Genomic DNA, 17,990 nt, shown 5'->3' with positions numbered 1-17,990 from the left:
AGATCAGTGATAATATTAAACAACGTGGTTTTAAAAAGTATTATTTAATAAAATGTATTAATATTTGGAAGATATCATGAGCCAAGTTTTTCCAAATGACCAATGTGTGATGTTACAAAATCATGCATGGGTAAAAGATGCACTTAAAATGCAATATAGGGCTGGGCATTGTGGCTCATGCCCGTAATCCCAGCACTTTGGGAGGCCAAGGCAGGCAGATCACCTGAGGTCAGGAGTTTGAGACCAGCCTGGCCAACATGGTGAAATCCCGTCTCTACTAAAAATACAAAAATTAGCCAGCCATGGTGGTGCATGCCTATAGTCCCAGCTACTTGGGAGGCTGAGGCAGAAGAATCACTTGAACCCTGGAGGTGGAGGTTGCAGTGAGCCAAGGTGGTGCCACTGTACTCCAGCCTGGGAGACAGAGCAAGACTCCGTCTCAAAAAAAAAAAAAAAAAAAAAGCAACATAGAATGGTGGATTTTACATAACAAGTATGGAAAGTTCACTGATGTGGTTTCAGATTCCACATTGTAACTAATCTTCGTATATATCAAATAAGAATATTTTCAATCAGATGAAAAGATTATTAAAATATTCCTTCTTTCCCAATACATTGATGTGTCAGGCCAGTTTTTCTACATATATTAATCAAAACCATGTATTGTATCACACTGAATGCACAGATACAAAAATCCAACCATCTTCTGTTAAGCTTGATATTAAAGATATATGAAAAAATTTAAAACTACTCTTATGAAATGTTGCTTTGCCTTGGAAAAATATATTTGTTTTCCATAAAAACATTATTTATGCTAATGTGCAATGAATTTATTCTTGTTATTTTAAAATGAACTAAATAGTTAAAAATTTTTTATTGTAATGTGGTAAATATTGACAGATATAACCCATATAAACAAAAGTTCTTTGAAGTCCTCAATTATTTTTAAGAGTGTTAAAGAGTCTTGAAACCAAAATGTTTTCAGAAATTCTGGTTTAGACCACTTCTGGGGGTTCAAACTCAGAAGCTTCATTCAAGGTAACATGGACCTCTTTTTCTTTAATAAGGAAATGATTAATTTATAAAGAACCTAGAGAATTCAAGCAAGACTTTCACAGCAGGGGAGAGGAATGTTACTGCTTCCCTCCGCCAAAAGAAAAGACATGCAAGGAGGGAATTCAATTAATTGTTCAGGGAATTTCTTCCTGGATGGTTTTGCATTCCTGTCAAATCACTGTGGGGCACACAGGTCTCTCTGCCAGCATGCTGCAAAGATTCTACACCCTGACCCTACTAACACCATTTTAACTGCTACCATTGGAGTCCCTTCTCTGAACTCCTTTTTCCCATCCAGTCTGTTCTGTACACCTTAGCACAGACCTGATCTACAAGGTTCTCTGGGAAAGTAATACTATTTCCTTCAGTCAATTTTTAGTCATTTGGGGGCTGGACATGATGTTTCAGGCGTCTCCTTCACTCCACTGCAGCTCCTAACATAATGCTGGGCACCACGGTGCCCATTACTCTATGCAAGTCTGCCATTTGGCTGATCAAGATTGAAGACTTAGGACAGAAACACTTTATTTGCAGAATGATCTCTACACTGTGTCGTTTCCTTTCTGGTAATGTTAGTTTTCTAACAGCAACCACAGAGCCAGGCAGCCAGGGCAGAAGGCTCTTTCTTATCCCGGCTCTATGGCTTTCCAGCTTTGTCACTTTGGGGAAATAACTCCTTTCAACCTCAGTTTTGCCCACAGGGAGGAGGCAGACATTGTTTAATGTAGGAGTCACCCAGCAGATGCTGGCTTCCTTGCCCGATTTTCTTCCCCTCTTCTTTAGGATGCTTCGAGATAATTAGCAAAGACGTGTCAGCCACAAATCATAACTCTTTCAAAGGCACTCATTAGCCAGTGAGAAGTTAATTATACTTAATCCAGTTCCCTTTTCTCTTCATTGACTGTACTTAGGATGGATTATAAATCTCTTATCAACTAAAACATGTTTCATAAAATTATACATCACAAAATTATGACAATCTCCCATCTGTTTATTTAGTTGTTAAGAATTTAAATAGAGTGTATTTAACTCAATGATTTTCTCCATGTTTTTCTAAAAGTCTTTTTGTTTTCTCTCCTTGATTCTTGAGAATCATCTCTGCTCCCCACCTCTCCTGATTTCTTACTGCTTTACTGCCCCTTGTGCCTCTCAGCCTTCTTTTCTTTTCTTCCTTTCTCTCTCTTCTACACAAGTCATGGTACCTTCAGGGGAGGTGGTTTCTCTGCAGAGGGCTCATGGACTGGATAGGTCAGGATATCAAAATTACTTGGGATTTCCCAGTAGTCCCTATTGCCCACCCTGCCACAGCCCCCCCGCCTTTTTCTTTCTTTCTTTTTTTTTTTTTTTTTGAGACAAAGTCTTGCTCTGCCATCCAGGCTGGAGTAGCTGGGACTACTGGTGTGTATCACCATGCCTGGCTAATTTTTAAATTTTTTACAGAGATGGAGTCTTGCCATGTTTCCCAGGCAGGTCTTGAACTCATAGGCTCAACTGATTCTCCCACTTCAGCCTCCTGAAGTGCTGGGATTACAGGTGTGAGCCACTGTGCTCAGCTTGTAGTGCTTTTTTATGCTGTCAGTGCTTAATGGAGGCCAAATCTCCAAGAATTAATTGAAAAGGTTCATGAAGAAGACAGTGTTGTAAACCAAAAATTAAATTCTAAGCTGCACCACTGCCCCCACACCCCTTGGCCAAGGGGATCCCTAAGAAACCTAAAAAACTAGTTCAGGCCATGACAGGAAGGGTGTTGGACGCGCCTCATTATACCCTCCTCTCTTTGTAGTTTAGGCATAACTGACCACCACTGACATTAAAATAGAGATCATAAGACTCACAGCAGACTCTGTAGCAGGAAGATACCCAACTCCAACCTGATTCTGGTATAGCATCACATCACAAAGAGCAGGTCCTAAAGAAAATCAGAGTATTTGACTCTAAAAATATATTTCTTTGATATATTTTTAAATGGCCCTGCAAAGCCATACTCTTGTGGGAGGAAATCTGCATTCTGTAGTGATTCTCCTTCCCTTTCCAGGTCTTTTCCCGATTCAGGAGAGAATCTGACACCTTCTAAGGTCCAGAGAGGACATTTACCATTTATTCCCTCTGAAGCCTGCTACTTAGGGGCTGCCTCTACATACAAGAACCTTGGCTTCCACAACCCACTTATCTTAACTCAACAATTTCTTTCTGCTGGCTTCAACTCTTTAGGGAAAGCTTAACTCTTCTGACCAATTACCAATCAGAAAATCTTGGAATCTACCTATGACCTATAATCTTGCCCCCACCCCCCACTTCAAAATGTCCCATCTTTCTGGGCTGAATCAACGTACACCTTATACGTATTGATTTATGCTTTGCCTGTAACTTCTGTCTCCCTAAAATGTATAAAACCAAACTGTAAAACTGACTACCTCGGGCACTTGTTCTCAGGACCCCTTGAGGATGTGCCCCAGCCATGGTCACTCATATTTGGCTCAAAGTAAATCTCTTTAAATATTTCACAGTTTTTTTTTTTTTTCGCCAACAATCTGGATGACATGAAACTGCAGCAATAGACATTTTTCTTCATCTGAGAAGAGTCCGCTTGAATGGCGGAGCCCTAAGCCTGATTGACAGTGATGAGGATGAGGCTGTCTCCAAGGGTAGGCCAAGGACAATTTGCATCAGAATGGCTTTGAGATCTTTAAAAGCAGATTCTCAGGCCCTTGACCTAGGGATTCTGATTCAAGAATTTTAAACAGAGTTCTCTGATGATTCTTCTGCATGATTCTTCAGCACCAGAGATATCTTTGTCTCGGTACTGCCCCCTTCTTGAAGAATTCGTCTGGTATAACATTTCTTCTTTGCAAAGTCAGAATAACTTAGTGAAATAGACAGGAGCGCAGGTATTGTTTTCTCCAGAAAGTTGCCTTAAATTTTATTCTATGTGTGCTCTTGGCCAAGGCAAAGCCCAGTATCAGCCATGGGTCAAGCTTGGCCAATCTCAGCCGCTCCTGAATGGCTTCTACCCAAGAGCCAGATTGCCAACTCAACAAGACATTATTGAAATTGGGATTAGATGTCTTTGCCTTCTGAAAATGAGACATATGTGAGCTGGGACTCAACACTTGAGGGTTTATGAGGACATATAGGATTGTGGAGGCAAGGGGTCCCTTCAGTGGGGAAGAGAAAGGATGACCATATTATATCTGTGTCTCACACTGACCCTTCCTGGGTTAGATATTTGTGTGTATTTCACACAAAGAACAGTGAATAAAGACCTAAGCATTGCCTCTCAGACCAAGCCAGACCCACAGCTCCTGCCTTCTAAAAATGATTGTTGACTTCTGGGCTGGCTGATACTTATAGTGAGGTCAGCAATATTACAATTACAATGCGGTCAAATGAGATTAATAAGGGTGCAACATACAAAACACAGGTAACAAGTTTTTACTGGGATTGCAGTGTCTGGAGAAGAGTTCCAGTGGGAAAGGACCCAGTAAAGTATGTCAGGCTGCAGGCTCCTTGTGATGCTGAACAATGATGGGAGGAGCCACAGGAGCAGCGTCCATCCTGAACTGAGAGAGCAGGCTTCGTTCCATCCAGCATTCTGTTCCTCCCCTGCTGGGCCAAAGCTGAAAACCTGGCTTGATCTATGTGAGTCAGAATGGCCTGTGGACATGGGTTTCCAGCCAGTGGAGCTCACGGGCTGTGGTTTAGACTTTTAGTCACATTCAATTAAAAAGGAAACAGCACTGTCCTTCATATACGTAGTCCTATCATGGTATTATCTTTACGGCCTCTAGCAAGAATGACACCCTCTTAGCAAGGTCTTCAAAAGATTTGAGGGTTCTCTATGCCATTCCAGTACATGAAGAATTGTATTTTACTTATTTGTGTACAATGTCTCACTCTAGAAAAATGCTTTTTCAAATTCCCGTAACATAAAAATGATGTAAAAGGCAAGAAGAAAAAATTAGAATATAAAACATTTTCCCCATTCATCTAAGTAATTCTCAGCATTTTATTCTTTTTTTTTTTTTAAAGTGAAAACAAGTTTATTAAGAAAGTGAAGGAATAAAAGAATGGCTGCTCCATAGGCAGAGCAGCCTTGAGGGCTGCTGGTTGCTCATTTTTATGATTGTTTCTTGATGATATGCTAAATAAGGGGTGGAATTATTCATGAGTTTTCCAAGAAAGGGGTGGGCAATTCTTGGAACTGAGGGTTTCTCCCCCTCTTAGACCATATAAGGTAATGTCCTGACCCTGCCATGGCATTTGTAAACTGTCATGGTGCAATCCTCAGCATTTTCCATTTGAGGCAGCGTTGAGGAAAGTTTCAAGGGAGGATGCTGATTGCCTAGGATTCTCAGCACTAGGGGCACCGGAGCCCAGAGGTCAGTTGCCTTTGGCCACAAACTCTTTTCCAGGGAGATCACAGATCTCCTTGAACATGCAGTAAAATGATGGTCATTTTCTCTGTGTGCCATGGTGTGAAAATGTTGGCATGCATGTCCAAATGTGGCAAACTTATCTATATATTCTCTTCATCCTAGCTGTACCAAAAATGATGCTGCTGTCTATCAAATCTCGGCTAAAAACTCTTTTGGAATGATCTGTTGTTCTGCTTCCGTTGAGGTTGAGTGCTCATCAGAGAACCCACAATTGTCTCCTAACCTGGAAGATGACAGGGACAGGGGTTGGAAACATGAAACAGGGACACATGAAGAAGAAAGGGCAAATCAGATTGATGAGAAGGAACATCCTTATAAGGAAGAAGAAAGCATCTCCCCGGGCACTCCCAGGTCAGCTGACTCCTCCCCCTCCAAATCCAACCATTCACTCTCCCTCCAGTCATTGGGCAATCTTGACATTAGTGTGTCCAGTTCTGAAAATCCTTTGGGTGTTAAAGGAACAAGGCACACTGGAGAGGCTTATGATCCAAGTAACACAGAAGAAATTGCAAATGGGTTGCTTTTTCTTAATTCAAGTCATATTTATGAAAAACAAGACAGATGTTGCCACAAGACAGTGCATTCCATGGCATCAAAGTTCACGGATGGTGACCTGAACAATGATGGTCCTCATGATGAAGGCTTACGCTCTAGTCAGCAAAATCCCAAAGTACAGAAATACATTAGCTTCAGCCTCCCGCTATCTGAGGCAACTGCACACATTTACCCAGGTGACAGTGCCGTGGCCAACAAACAACCCAGCCCACAGCTTTCCAGTGAAGACTCTGACAGTGACTATGAACTTTGCCCAGAGATAACCCTAACCTACACCGAGGAGTTTTCAGATGATGACCTGGAGTATCTGGAATGTTCTGATGTTATGACGGATTACTCTAATGCAGTTTGGCAAAGGAACCTGCTGGGGACTGAGCATGTTTTTTTATTAGAAAGCGATGACGAAGAGATGGAATTCGGTGAGCATTGCCTGGGTGGGTGTGAGCATTTCCTCAGTGGAATGGGTTGTGGGTCTCGGGTGTCGGGTGACGCTGGGCCTATGGTTGCCACTGCTGGCTTCTGTGGTCATCACTCACAACCCCAAGAAGTTGGGGTGAGGAGCAGCAGAGTCTCCAAGCACGGTCCCTCATCCCCACAAACAGGGATGACTCTCATTTTGGGACCTCACCAGGATGGAACGTCTTCAGTGACAGAACAGGGGAGATATAAACTCCCCACTGCTCCCGAGGCTGCTGAAAATGATTATCCAGGAATTCAAGGAGAAACCAGAGACAGCCACCAAGCAAGAGAGGAATTTGCCAGTGACAATCTGCTCAACATGGATGAATCAGTAAGAGAGACAGAGATGAAGCTCTTGTCTGGTGAGTCAGAAAACTCAGGGATGAGCCAGTGTTGGGAGACGGCAGCTGACAAGAGAGTGGGGGGAAAGGACTTATGGAGCAAGAGGGGTTCAAGGAAATCTGCCAGGGTGAGGCAGCCGGGAATGAAGGGAAATCCCAAGAAGCCGAATGCCAACCTGAGAGAAAGTACAACAGAAGGTACCCTTCATCTCTGCTCTGCCAAAGAATCTGCTGAGCCCCCACTAACCCAGAGTGATAAAAGAGAGACTTCTCACACCACAGCAGCAGCGACTGGTCGGAGTTCCCATGCTGATGCAAGAGAATGTGCTATTTCAACCCAGGCAGAGCAAGAAGCAAAAACCCTTCAAACTTCAACAGACTCAGTCTCCAAAGAAGGCAACACAAATTGCAAGGGAGAAGGCATGCAAGTTAATACTCTATTTGAAACAAGCCAGGTTCCAGACTGGAGTGATCCTCCTCAGGTAAGACTTTTCTTTTAAAGAAATTACGAGATAAAAAGAACCGTGTGTGTGTGTGTGTGTGTGTGTGTGTGTGTGTGTGTCTCTTCCTTTACTTCACATTCACAATTGCTATACCATAATGTAAATCAAAATAAGTTTCCCAACACCATCAGGGTACTTGTGCATGACAGCTGCTGCTGCTCGGAAGGAAATCTGGTTTTGAAAAAAAGGCCCAGATAAACCCTAAGCCATCCTAATTATAGCAAAAGACTGATAGAAGTTAAGAGGCACTAATGGGATTCTGGACAGCTGGAAAAAGAAATCTGATATTTTGTCTGCTGCATGTGTTTTACCAGGCAATGCCACTATTCAGAAAGTTTCTCAAGCAAATGTTTTGGGTGTAGCCTTTAAAGGAAGAAGGGGGAAAAAAACATTGTTTTTAGTCATTTGCAGGGAAGTGCTTTGAAAATGATAGGTCTTGGCTTTAATCAGAATTTGTGGTATGAATGAAAGACTTCAGTGTGTCTGAAAGACTTGTAGACTTCACTTTTTTTGTGATGCTAGGGAAAGCAGGCAGATTAACTGTTGCCTCACTGGTGGGATGTTTTTGATTGGATGTTTGTCTTATTTTGTTTAAAACAGAGTATAAAAGAGGCTAAGAGAAAAAAAGCTGCCAAGAAATAAATTTGTTTTCCCTTATTACTGATTTGGGAGTGTAAAGAGATGGAATTAAATTTATAGGAATAATCAATGCACAAAAGATGTTGTGCTTGATACATAACTTATATTTTTAATGATATTTTCAGTTTCAAAGGGTCCCAAATGAGCTTTGGACTTACGCTGTAATATGGGCAAGATTTGAGTTTTGTAAATAAATACCTAAGAAAACTTATTTGTCTGTTATTTTTACTATACTTTGTATTCCCCTTTTTCCCAATTTTGTACTAGAAAACTAGTATTATTTTTATAGAAGACTAGATACACTCCAAAGATAAAATATTCCCAATGCAAAGTGACTTAACTCTGTGAAAATATTAAAAATTGACACATGAATTTCTATAGACCCAGTCATAAAAAAGCCAATCTAAAAATCTCCAGATTTTAGGTAACTGTTGATTGAGCAAATTGTTCTGTTCTGCTGGCCAAACTGGCCAGGTAAAAGCCACATTTATATTTTACTTTTCACAGGAGAACCAGATTCTCCTATCCAGTTATTTAACACATGTCTCTTAGCAGCTCACACACCAATGACCACAGTTTCATGCCCAAGATAAGCTTAGGGAGGTGCTTTGACCATATGTTAATACAAAATAAAGTGACAATGTTAATTTTTTCATGTTGATAAACATGGCATTTCCTTTTCTAGTCATAAAATGCTCTTCCGTGCTCAGCTAAGTGCTTTTTTTACAGTCATTTATCCACTCAAAGTGTTTCACTGGACAAATTACTTTATTATTGAAGGTGGGGGAAGGTGATAAAGTAGCTCAAAAGAAGTGGAAGGGAAGGGGGCTATTTACCTATTTACTGACGATATTGGTTTTAGATCCACCATTGTGGAAGGCAATTGCTGTCTCATCCATCTGCCCCAAATTTCAAAGAGCTGGAGGGAAGAGCCCCCTCTGTCATCCTCAGCTTGTGACCTAAACTGAATTCTGAGATCGAGAGCCCTGGCTCACTTGTTTACTAGCAAGTCAGTCAAGTAAAATGGGCCATTTCTGGGACCCAGGTCATCTATCTCATGTACTCTATGGAAGGTCTCGCTTACACACTCACACACACATTCATCACTATATACCCACTCCACCAGGTATCAGCTGAAGGTCCAACCTGTGCGCTGTGGTGTGACTAAGGCAATTACCTCAGAACCGTGAACACTGTTGTTCAGAAAGCAAACCGAAGGGCTTGCATTTTCTGCAAGTGGAGAGACCTTTTCTCACTTTGCTGTGGTCAGTAGCAGAGCTGACCTCTCACTCAAGGGATAACCAGAAATGTGAATGGAAGCTGTACATTTAAGAGCAGTTCCGTGCAGCCTGGAGTTAGAAATACGATCTTTCTATCTGTGGTGTTTATTTTCCTTTGAGTAAAGCAGGAAAATTTTGCCACAGGGACTGGCATATTTGAGATTCTTTTACCCACGCAAAAAGTTTCTATTTAGTTGTAGGAGATACCTGTATTTTCTACACACGTATACAATGTAGCCAAATTTACAGCAAGTGGCTAACTATCATCACAGATATGACACAGAAGCACTGGGGGTCACTGGGAATTAAATTCAACTTTTAAAAATAATACTGTTCACAAAAAGATAGGTGACTCTCTCCATAACAAATTCAAAAGACATTTTAAATATTTATTCTCAGACATTTGAGGTTTATGGGGACCTAAAAATTTGAAATGGTTAAAATCCTGGGTTGGTAGTCATAGCAATAAATTTGCCCACTCTTTTTCCTTTTATCTTTTTTGAGACAGAGTCTTGCTATTGTTGCCTGGGCTGGAGCAATGGTACGATCTCGGCTCACTGCAACCTCCGCCTCTCAGATTCAAGAGATTCTCCTGCCTCAGCCTCCTGAGTAGCTGAGATTACAGGCACCCGCCACCACACCTGGCTAATTTTCATATTTTTAGTAGAGACAGGGTTTCACCATATTGATCAGGCTGGTCTCGAACTCCTGACCTCAGGTGATCCACCCACCTCAGCCTCCCAAAGTGCTGGGATTACAGGCATGAGCCACCACGCTCGGTCAAATTTGCCCATTCTTGAGTCTTGCCTGATTCACTTACCTTTAGGTGCCTTTTTGCAGAAACAGTGACCAGCAGTTTACTTCCTAGTATTTTCTCTTCATCTGCATACCGTTTTTAGCATGCTGAGAAAAACTCCATCTCTCTAATGTTCTAAGAACAAGGCCATATTGTAGACTATCTCCTGCCTAAACATGCATCTCTAGGTATGTTCACTTCCTGTCTCCCTTTCTCTCTTTTAGAATGCAAGGCCATCTTGCTGTTGTCTTGAAATAGTACCTACCCAGGCTAATATTGGAAAGCCCCCAGTTTCTCTATATTTATGGAAGATTATAAAGTTAATCCCAGTTTGGGAGTGGAAAACAGAGAGGGTACCCCAGGCTAACTTGAATCATCTTCAAGGGTCACACTGCCAACTCTTCACCTTGGTTTTGAGCTCACTTTCCTCATCCAACTCAGAGGCAAGGCCTGACAGCCTGCCCATCTTAAGTTTCTCGGCAGCCACACTAGGGTAAGATCATCCTCACCCTTAAATCAGAAGTGCTGCGTCTGTGCTCCTGCACAGCTGCCCAGGTTCGCCCCAGAGGGAGTTGCATTTCTGTATGGGGTCATGGGATCACAAGTGTACAGTAAGGAAATGTGTTCTTGGGCTCTGGTAATTAAGAATCTTCCTGATCAGGAATCAGCACTAAGCACAGAATTGAGCTCCGTGATGGAAGGGAATTTGTTCAGTGTATTCTGTTCGCTGATATAACCCAAGTCCCTAGAGTAGTGCCTGCCGTGTAATAGACAATCAATTATTGACTGGATAAGTAGCCATACAATACTAGAGTAAATGCCAAGTATAGTTAGGTGTGATTTTCTTTCTTCTTCTTCTTTTTTTTTTTTTGAAACGAGGTTTCACTCTTGTTGCCCAGGCCAATGGTGTGATCTCGGCCCACCGCAACCTCTGCCCCCCAGGTTCAAGTGATTCTCCTGCCTCAGCCTCCTGATTAGCTGGGATGACAGACATGGGCCACCATGCCTGGCTAATTTTGTATTCTTAGTAGACATGGGGTTTCTCCATGTTGATCAGGCTGGTCTCAAACTCCCGACCTCAGGTGATCCACCTGCCTCGGCCTCCCAAAGTGCTGGGATTACAGGCGTGAGCCACCATGCCCAGCCAGTTAGGTGTGATTCTAATGATCGTTGGTCTCCACCACTTTATGGCCTTTATTTTCCTGAGCACATTCTTTGGTTGCCTTCACATAAAAGATGCTGAGGCCAACTCTCTGCTAATAGGACGTGCTTCCTATTAGTTACTCTTTTGGCTCTGGGAATGGGTTGGTTTGTTTCAAACCAGCAGTCCCCAAACATTTTGGCACCAGGGACTGGTTTTGCGGAAGACAATTTTTCCACAGCCGGAACGGGGCGGGGATGGTTTCAGGATGAAACTGTTCCACTTCAGATCATCAGGCATTAGATTCTCGTAAGGACTGTGCAACCTAGATCCCTTGTATGCACCATTCACAACTGGGTTCATGTCCTGCCACCCACCTCCTGCTGCGTGGCCCAGTTCCTAACAGGAGACAGACAGTTACCGGTCCATGGCCTGGGGCTGGGGGTTGGGGACCCCTGTTCTAAACCATCCAAATCTTTTTTTTTTTTTTTTTTTTTTGAGATGGAGTCTCACTCTGTTGCCCAGACTGGCATGATCTTGGCTCACTGCAACCTCCGCCTCCTGGGTTCAAGCGGTTCTCCTGCCTCAGCCTCCTGAGTAGCTGGGATTACAGGTGCGCCCCACCACACCCGGCTGATTTTTGTTTTTTTTTTTTTAGTAGAGACAGGGTTTCACCATGTTGGTCAGGCTGGTCTCGAACTCCTGACCTTGTGATCCGCCCCGCCTCAGCCTCCCAACGTGCTGGGATTATAGGCGTGAGCTGCCGCAACCAGCACCATCCAAATCTTGCACTTGGGTTCTCTTGTGAATGCTGGAGATTTACATATAACTTTGCTTTATTAGTGCTTCATTATCTCCAAAAAATTGCTAATTAGATCAAGGAAGATACTATCATATTCACCTAGCACTCAGGATTTTCTGCCTTTTGCCTCTGTCTATCTCTGAGAGGCAAAGCAGGAGTACAAGCTGGTTTCCTCACCTGGAAAACATGTGGTGGATGGTCCATCTTTCTGTCTGGAATTCCTTTGCCCACCTTGTTTCTAGCTCAGCCTACCTGCTGCTTCAAGACTGAGATCTTGCATGGTGCTTCAAGTTGCTTTTCTCATCCCTAACTACAATTTCTTCTTTCAGAGCAACGCATGACATTCTCATCCTCATTCTTTGTAATCCTGACTTTCTTGGGACAAAAGTTTTATAGAAGACAAAAATGTTTATCTGCTGACCTTCTCTCCACTATTATCCTATGACCCTGCCACATCCCCCTCTCTGAGAAACACCCAAGAATGATCAATAAATACTAAAAAAAAAAAAAAAAAAAAAAAAGAAGACAAAAATGGCAACATGCCTCTAGATAAAAGTGTTGGCAGAGTTCCAATTAAAATACTGCATTCCTGGCTAGGTGCAGGGGCTCATGCCTGTAATCCCAGTACTTTGGGAATCCAAGGCCGTTGGACTCGCTTGAGCCCAGGAGTTCAAGACCAGCCTGGGCAACATAGCAAGACCCTGTCTCTGAAAAAAAAAAAACATATATATATACACACATATATATATATACACACACATATATATATACACACACATATATATATACATATATATACACATATATACATATATACACACATATATATACACACATATATACATATATACACATATATACATATATATACACATATATACATATATACACATATATACACACATATACACATATATATACATATATACACATATATATACACATATACATATATAATGCTGCATTCCCTTAATGCTCAATTTAAAATTAAACATAAAGCAACAGAATACACTAAGTATAATGTTTTTAAGAGAATTCATTAGCAGATCTAGATACCATTTACAAACGGTTTTATTACATGTTTTTTAATTGAAATGTTTACTGAGATAATTGTACATTCACATGCAGTTGTAAGAAATAGAGAGAGATGACAGTACACTTTGCCCAGGTTCCCTCAATGGTGACATTTTACAAAACAATGGTATAATGTCATAACCAGGATATTGACATTGATACAATCTACTGATGTAATTTGGATTTCCCCAGTTGTACTCGTATGTGTGTATTAAGATCTACAGACATTTATCACCTACGTAGGTTCCTGTATCCACTACCAGAGTCAAGATACGGAACAATTCCATTACCACAAAGATCCCTTGCATTACCCTTAATAACCATGCATACCTCCTTCCTGCCCTCTCCCTTTGGTAGCCCCTGGCAACCACTACTTTGTCCTCCAATTCTAAAATTTTGTCATTTCAAACATGTTACATAAATGGAATCATACAGTATACAAGTTTTTGAGTTTTTTTTTCAGCAGAATTCCCGGAGATTCATTCAACTTGTGTGTATCAAAAGTTCATTCCTTCTTATTGCTGAGTAGTATTCCACGCAGTTCGCTTAGTCTTTCACTGGTTGAAGAACATTTGGGCTGATTCCAGTTTTTTGCTCTCATGGCTAAAACATTTATATACAGACTTTTATGTGAACATAAGTCTTCATTTCTATGGGACCCATGCCCAGGACAGTCATTGCTGAGTCATATGGGGCTTGCATATTTAGTTTGTAATGAAACTGTCCAGCTGTTTTCCAGAGATGCTGTACCTTTTTACATTCCCATCAGCAATGTATGAGGGCCCAGTTACGCCACATCTGCACCAGCATTTGGTATTGTCATTATTTTTGATTCTGGACTTTCTGATATGTGTGTGGTGATATCCCATTGTAGCTTTTAATTTGCATTTCCCTAATGGTTAACAATTTTGAACATTTTTAAATGTATTTATTTGCCAGTTGTATATTTTCTTTGGGGAAATGTCTGTTAAGTCCATTTCCTAACTGGACTGTTATTTTATGGTTGAATTTTGAGACTTCTATATGCATTCTAGAGACTAGTCCTTTGTTGGTTTACACACCTTTTTTTTTTTTTTTTTTTTTTTGAGATGGAGTCTACCTCTGTCACCTAGGCTGGAGTACAGTGGCACGATCTTGGCTGACTGCAACCTCCGCCTCCCAGGTTCAAGCGATTCTCCTGCCTCAGCCTCCCAAGTAGCTGGGATTACAGGCGCCTGCCACCACACCTGGCTAATTTTTGGATTTTTAGTAGAGACGGGGTTTCACTGTTTTGGCCAGGCTGGTCTCGAACTCCTGACCTTGTGATCTGCCCACCTCGGCCTCCTAAAGATTTCCAAATATTTTCTCCTAGTCTGTAATTTGTCTTTTTATCTTCTTTACGTGGGCTCTCACAAAGCAAAACTTTTCATATTGATGAGGTCTAATGGTCAGTTTTTCCTTTTATGGATTTTGCTTTTGGTGTCAAGTCTAAAACTCTTTGCCTTTCCCTGGATCCTGAAGATTTTCTTTCTGCTATGGTCTTTTTCTAGGTTTTATAGCTTTATGTTTTAGATTTGAAGCCAATGATCCATTTTGAGTTGATTTTTGTAGAAAGTATGAGGTTTAGGTTAAGGTTCTTTTTTTTTTTTTTTTTCCTGTGGATGTTCAATTTTTCTAGCACGACTTATTGATAAGACTTTGTAACTATGTTTAAAAAGAGAACTTAGCATAGTGCCAGGCACCCAGTAAGTTCTCAAGGTTTGCCAAGTGCGGTGGCTCACACCTGTAGTCGCAGCATTTTGGGAGGCTGAGGTGGGTGAATCACTTGAGCCAGGAGTTCAAGACCAGCCTGGCCAACATGGTGAATCCCTGTCTCTACTAAAAATACAAAAATTAGCCAGGCATGGTGGCGCTTGCCTGTAATCCCAGCTACTTGGGAGGCTGAGGTAGGAGAATTGCTTGAACGTGGGAGGTGGAGGTTGCAGTGAGCTGATATCGCACCACTCCAGCATGGGCCACAGAGCGAGACTCTGTCTCAAAAAAAGAAAAAAAAAGAAAGATGTCAGGGTCTCATCTCCTCTTTGAGGTCAGAGGAAAGCTTCTGGTCACTTTCTTGCCAGGGATTTTACCAGTGGCCAGGAAAACATCAGCCTTGCAGCCACGAGCTGGGCGTATAGCCAGGAAAGAGGTGCCCCCATCAGCCTGTAGGACTGAACAGATGATCAAACCCAGCTGAACTAAAGGTTGAAGAAACCAAGGGTGTTTTGGTTTCTAAGAGGCATTTAGTTAATCAATAGGACTATTATGTGCTATTTGGAAAGAATGAGCAAGTCTAGATGTGCCGTCTTTCCTGGATTTGCCCACAATATGAGGATTGACTGATTTAAACAGAAAGCCGGGGGTGAGAGAGAGACCTAGAGACAGAGGCCTTGACGTGCAAGTCCAATAGTTCCTACTAAATGATGTATGTATTCACACCTTGAGAGTTCATGCCTTCAAAGGTGGCAAACTGCCACCATAGCCCACTAATTCCCAGTTGTGTTTTAAGTATCAGCAGAAAATTTACTTCTTCTATGCTAAGCAGATTTGAGCTGATGTGGTATGAAACTTCATGTTAATCTAAGTTCAGGCTAGTTACTAGGCAGGTGGTACAGGCAGAGTATGCAGCAGCCTGAAAATCTGCATGGCCATCCAGTAACAGGCAGGGCACATCACAGGGCTCTAGTAAATGTTTTTAGGGCATAGAAAAATACAAGGCAGCTGATCTAAACCATCTTGTAATACAGTGCTCGGATTTAAGAACCACCTGAGATCTTGAGTTCATTTGCATACTCAATTGTATTCTCCCAAAATAAAAACTATTAAAACAATGACTCCAGAGGGCTGATAAGCCAGATCTTAGCCGATGATGGGAAGGGCGGAGGTTTTTCTTTTCTTTTTTTTTTTTTTTTTGAGACGGAGTCTCGCTCTGTCACCCAGGCTGGAGTGCAATGGCGCAATCTCGGCTCACTGCAACCTCCGCCTCCTGGGTTCAAGCAATTCTCCTGCCTCGGCCTTCCGAGTAGCTGGGATTACAGGCACCCGCCACCACACCCGGCTAATTTTTTGTATTTTTAGTAGAGACGGGGTTTCACCATGTTAGCCAGGACGGTCTTGACCTCCTGACATTGTGATCCGCCCACCTCAGCCTCCCAAAGCGCTGGGATTACAGGCATGAGCCACCGCGCCCAGCCAGAAGGGCGGAGGTTTCTAGTCACTCATCTCTTAGAGTGTGGCCAGCATGCCTCTTGTCAGTACCATTCCTTAGCTGACCCAGGGAGGAACACAAACATTTGTTTTCTTTTTAATCACAAAGCCTGCTGTGCCACTTCTGCCAAATACCATTAACTGTCCTGGACCTGCAGTTTAATGTCCTGGCTTACTACAGTTATTATCCTCAGTCAGGGTTAAATAATCAATAAAGAGTCATTAGTGCCTGCAGTTGTGCAACTCTTGGTGTAGTCCGCGGACCAGCTGGTTAGAAATGCAGGCTCAGAAGCCCTGTTCCAGTCCTACTGAATCAGAATCTGCATTCTCAACCAGACTCGTAGGAGATTCATACACACACTGAAGTTCCAATAGCCCCAGTCCACAGAGTATAGGATCCTTCTCAGATTAGAAAAGACCCCAAAGCCAAGCCCTCAACCCTAGCTATGCATGGAATCACCTGGGAGCTTTAGAACATTCAGCTGCCTGGGTTTTGCCCTCAGACATTCTGATGTGATTTGGTCTGCAGTGTGGGCGTTGGAAGCTCTAAAAGCTCCCAGGTGATTCTCTATACTTCCAAGGTTGAGAGCCTTGGCTGAGCTACACAATCATATGGAAACTTTTTCTCCCCCCCAAGACTGGGTCTCTGTCACCCAGGTTGGAGTGCAGTGGCCTGGTTACTGCTTACTACAGCCTGGACCTCAGGTGATCCTCCCACCTCAGGCTCACGAGCAGCTGAGACTACAGGCACATGCCACTACACCTGGCTAATTTTTCTATTTTTAGTAGAGATGGGGTTTTGCCATGTTGCCCAGGATGGTCTCGAACTCCTGGCCCCAAGTGATTCTCTTGCCTTGGCCTCCCAAAGTGCTGGGATTACAGGTGTGAGCCACTGTGCCCAGCCTGTAACTTCTAAATAGACTTGTCTCTTGGTATCTGTAGGGGATTGGTTCCAGGACCCCCCTCAGATACCAAAATCTGAGGATGCTCATGTCTCTGATATAAAATGGCATAGTATTTGCAAATAACTTATATACATCCTCCTGTTCACTTCAAATCATCTCCAATTACTTATAACACCTAATACAATGTAAATGCTACGTGAATAGTTGTTATACTCTATTGCTGAGAGTAACAATTTTAAAAGTCTGTACACATTCAGTAAAGATGCAATTTTTCCCCAAATCTCTTGGGTCCATGATTGGTTGAATCCACAAATTTAAAACCCACGGATACAGAGGCTAACTGTATACAGACATACAAGCCCCACCCCGGAGGTCCTTATTTCAATAGATCGAGGGTAGAGCTCAGGCGTGCGTGCCTTATGGAAGCTCCAGCTGACCCTGGGTAACTGAGGCACAGCTGTGGTTGAGAGTCCTGGAGCCCATATGGAGCTAAATCCTGGGGGGTTCCAAGTTCCACCTCCCCTGAGTAGGGCTGCAGAGAGCTAAAGGCTATACAGCTTGTGATGTACTTTCTTGGGGATTCGGGAGTCCTTGCCCGTGATTTCCCACAATCTTAGCCAAGGAACACAGCATCAGGTTATTCAATAGCACTTTTCAAACAGAGGCAATGGGTATTCTTCACACATAAGGCGTTCCTGTCCTAGTGCCATATATGCATCCCAGAAACACCTCACATTCTGAAAAATCACACCCTTAAAGTGTAAGGGCTTTGGGGAAA

General features: G+C 42.5%; 1 protein-coding gene across 1 annotated transcript in view, besides 3 other annotated features; it reads left to right on the top strand.

Annotated features, from left to right (window-relative positions):
- ALPK2 (alpha kinase 2) overlaps positions 1–17,990 on the top strand; it is a 147,845-nt gene that overhangs the window by 42,949 nt on the left and 86,906 nt on the right. Inside the window, exon 4 of the mRNA NM_052947.4 lies at positions 5,595–7,329. Within this exon, the coding sequence (NP_443179.3) occupies positions 5,595–7,329 (1,735 nt within the window). The remainder of the gene's footprint in view (positions 1–5,594; positions 7,330–17,990) is intronic.
- Positions 857–1,491: an enhancer, noted in NCBI's record as "OCT4-NANOG-H3K27ac hESC enhancer chr18:56251884-56252518 (GRCh37/hg19 assembly coordinates)". NCBI's record gives its function as "activates a minimal SCP1, AML or CMV promoter by ChIP-STARR-seq in primed H9 embryonic stem cells {active_cell/tissue: H9 hESC(primed)}" and the evidence as "EXISTENCE:reporter gene assay evidence [ECO:0000049][PMID:30033119]".
- Positions 4,012–4,512: an enhancer, noted in NCBI's record as "H3K27ac hESC enhancer chr18:56248863-56249363 (GRCh37/hg19 assembly coordinates)". NCBI's record gives its function as "activates a minimal SCP1, AML or CMV promoter by ChIP-STARR-seq in primed H9 embryonic stem cells {active_cell/tissue: H9 hESC(primed)}" and the evidence as "EXISTENCE:reporter gene assay evidence [ECO:0000049][PMID:30033119]".
- Positions 6,049–6,596: an enhancer, noted in NCBI's record as "ALPK2 eExon fragment used in the reporter construct". NCBI's record gives its function as "weakly activates a pGL4.23 vector minimal promoter by reporter assays in HepG2 cells" and the evidence as "EXISTENCE:reporter gene assay evidence [ECO:0000049][PMID:25340400]".

This window comes from Homo sapiens, chromosome 18 (assembly GCF_000001405.40).
Source record: "Homo sapiens chromosome 18, GRCh38.p14 Primary Assembly".
Taxonomy (NCBI): domain Eukaryota; kingdom Metazoa; phylum Chordata; class Mammalia; order Primates; family Hominidae; genus Homo; species Homo sapiens.
The sequence above is the reverse complement of the archived record's forward strand: the minus strand, read 5'-3'. Positions and strand labels throughout refer to the sequence as shown.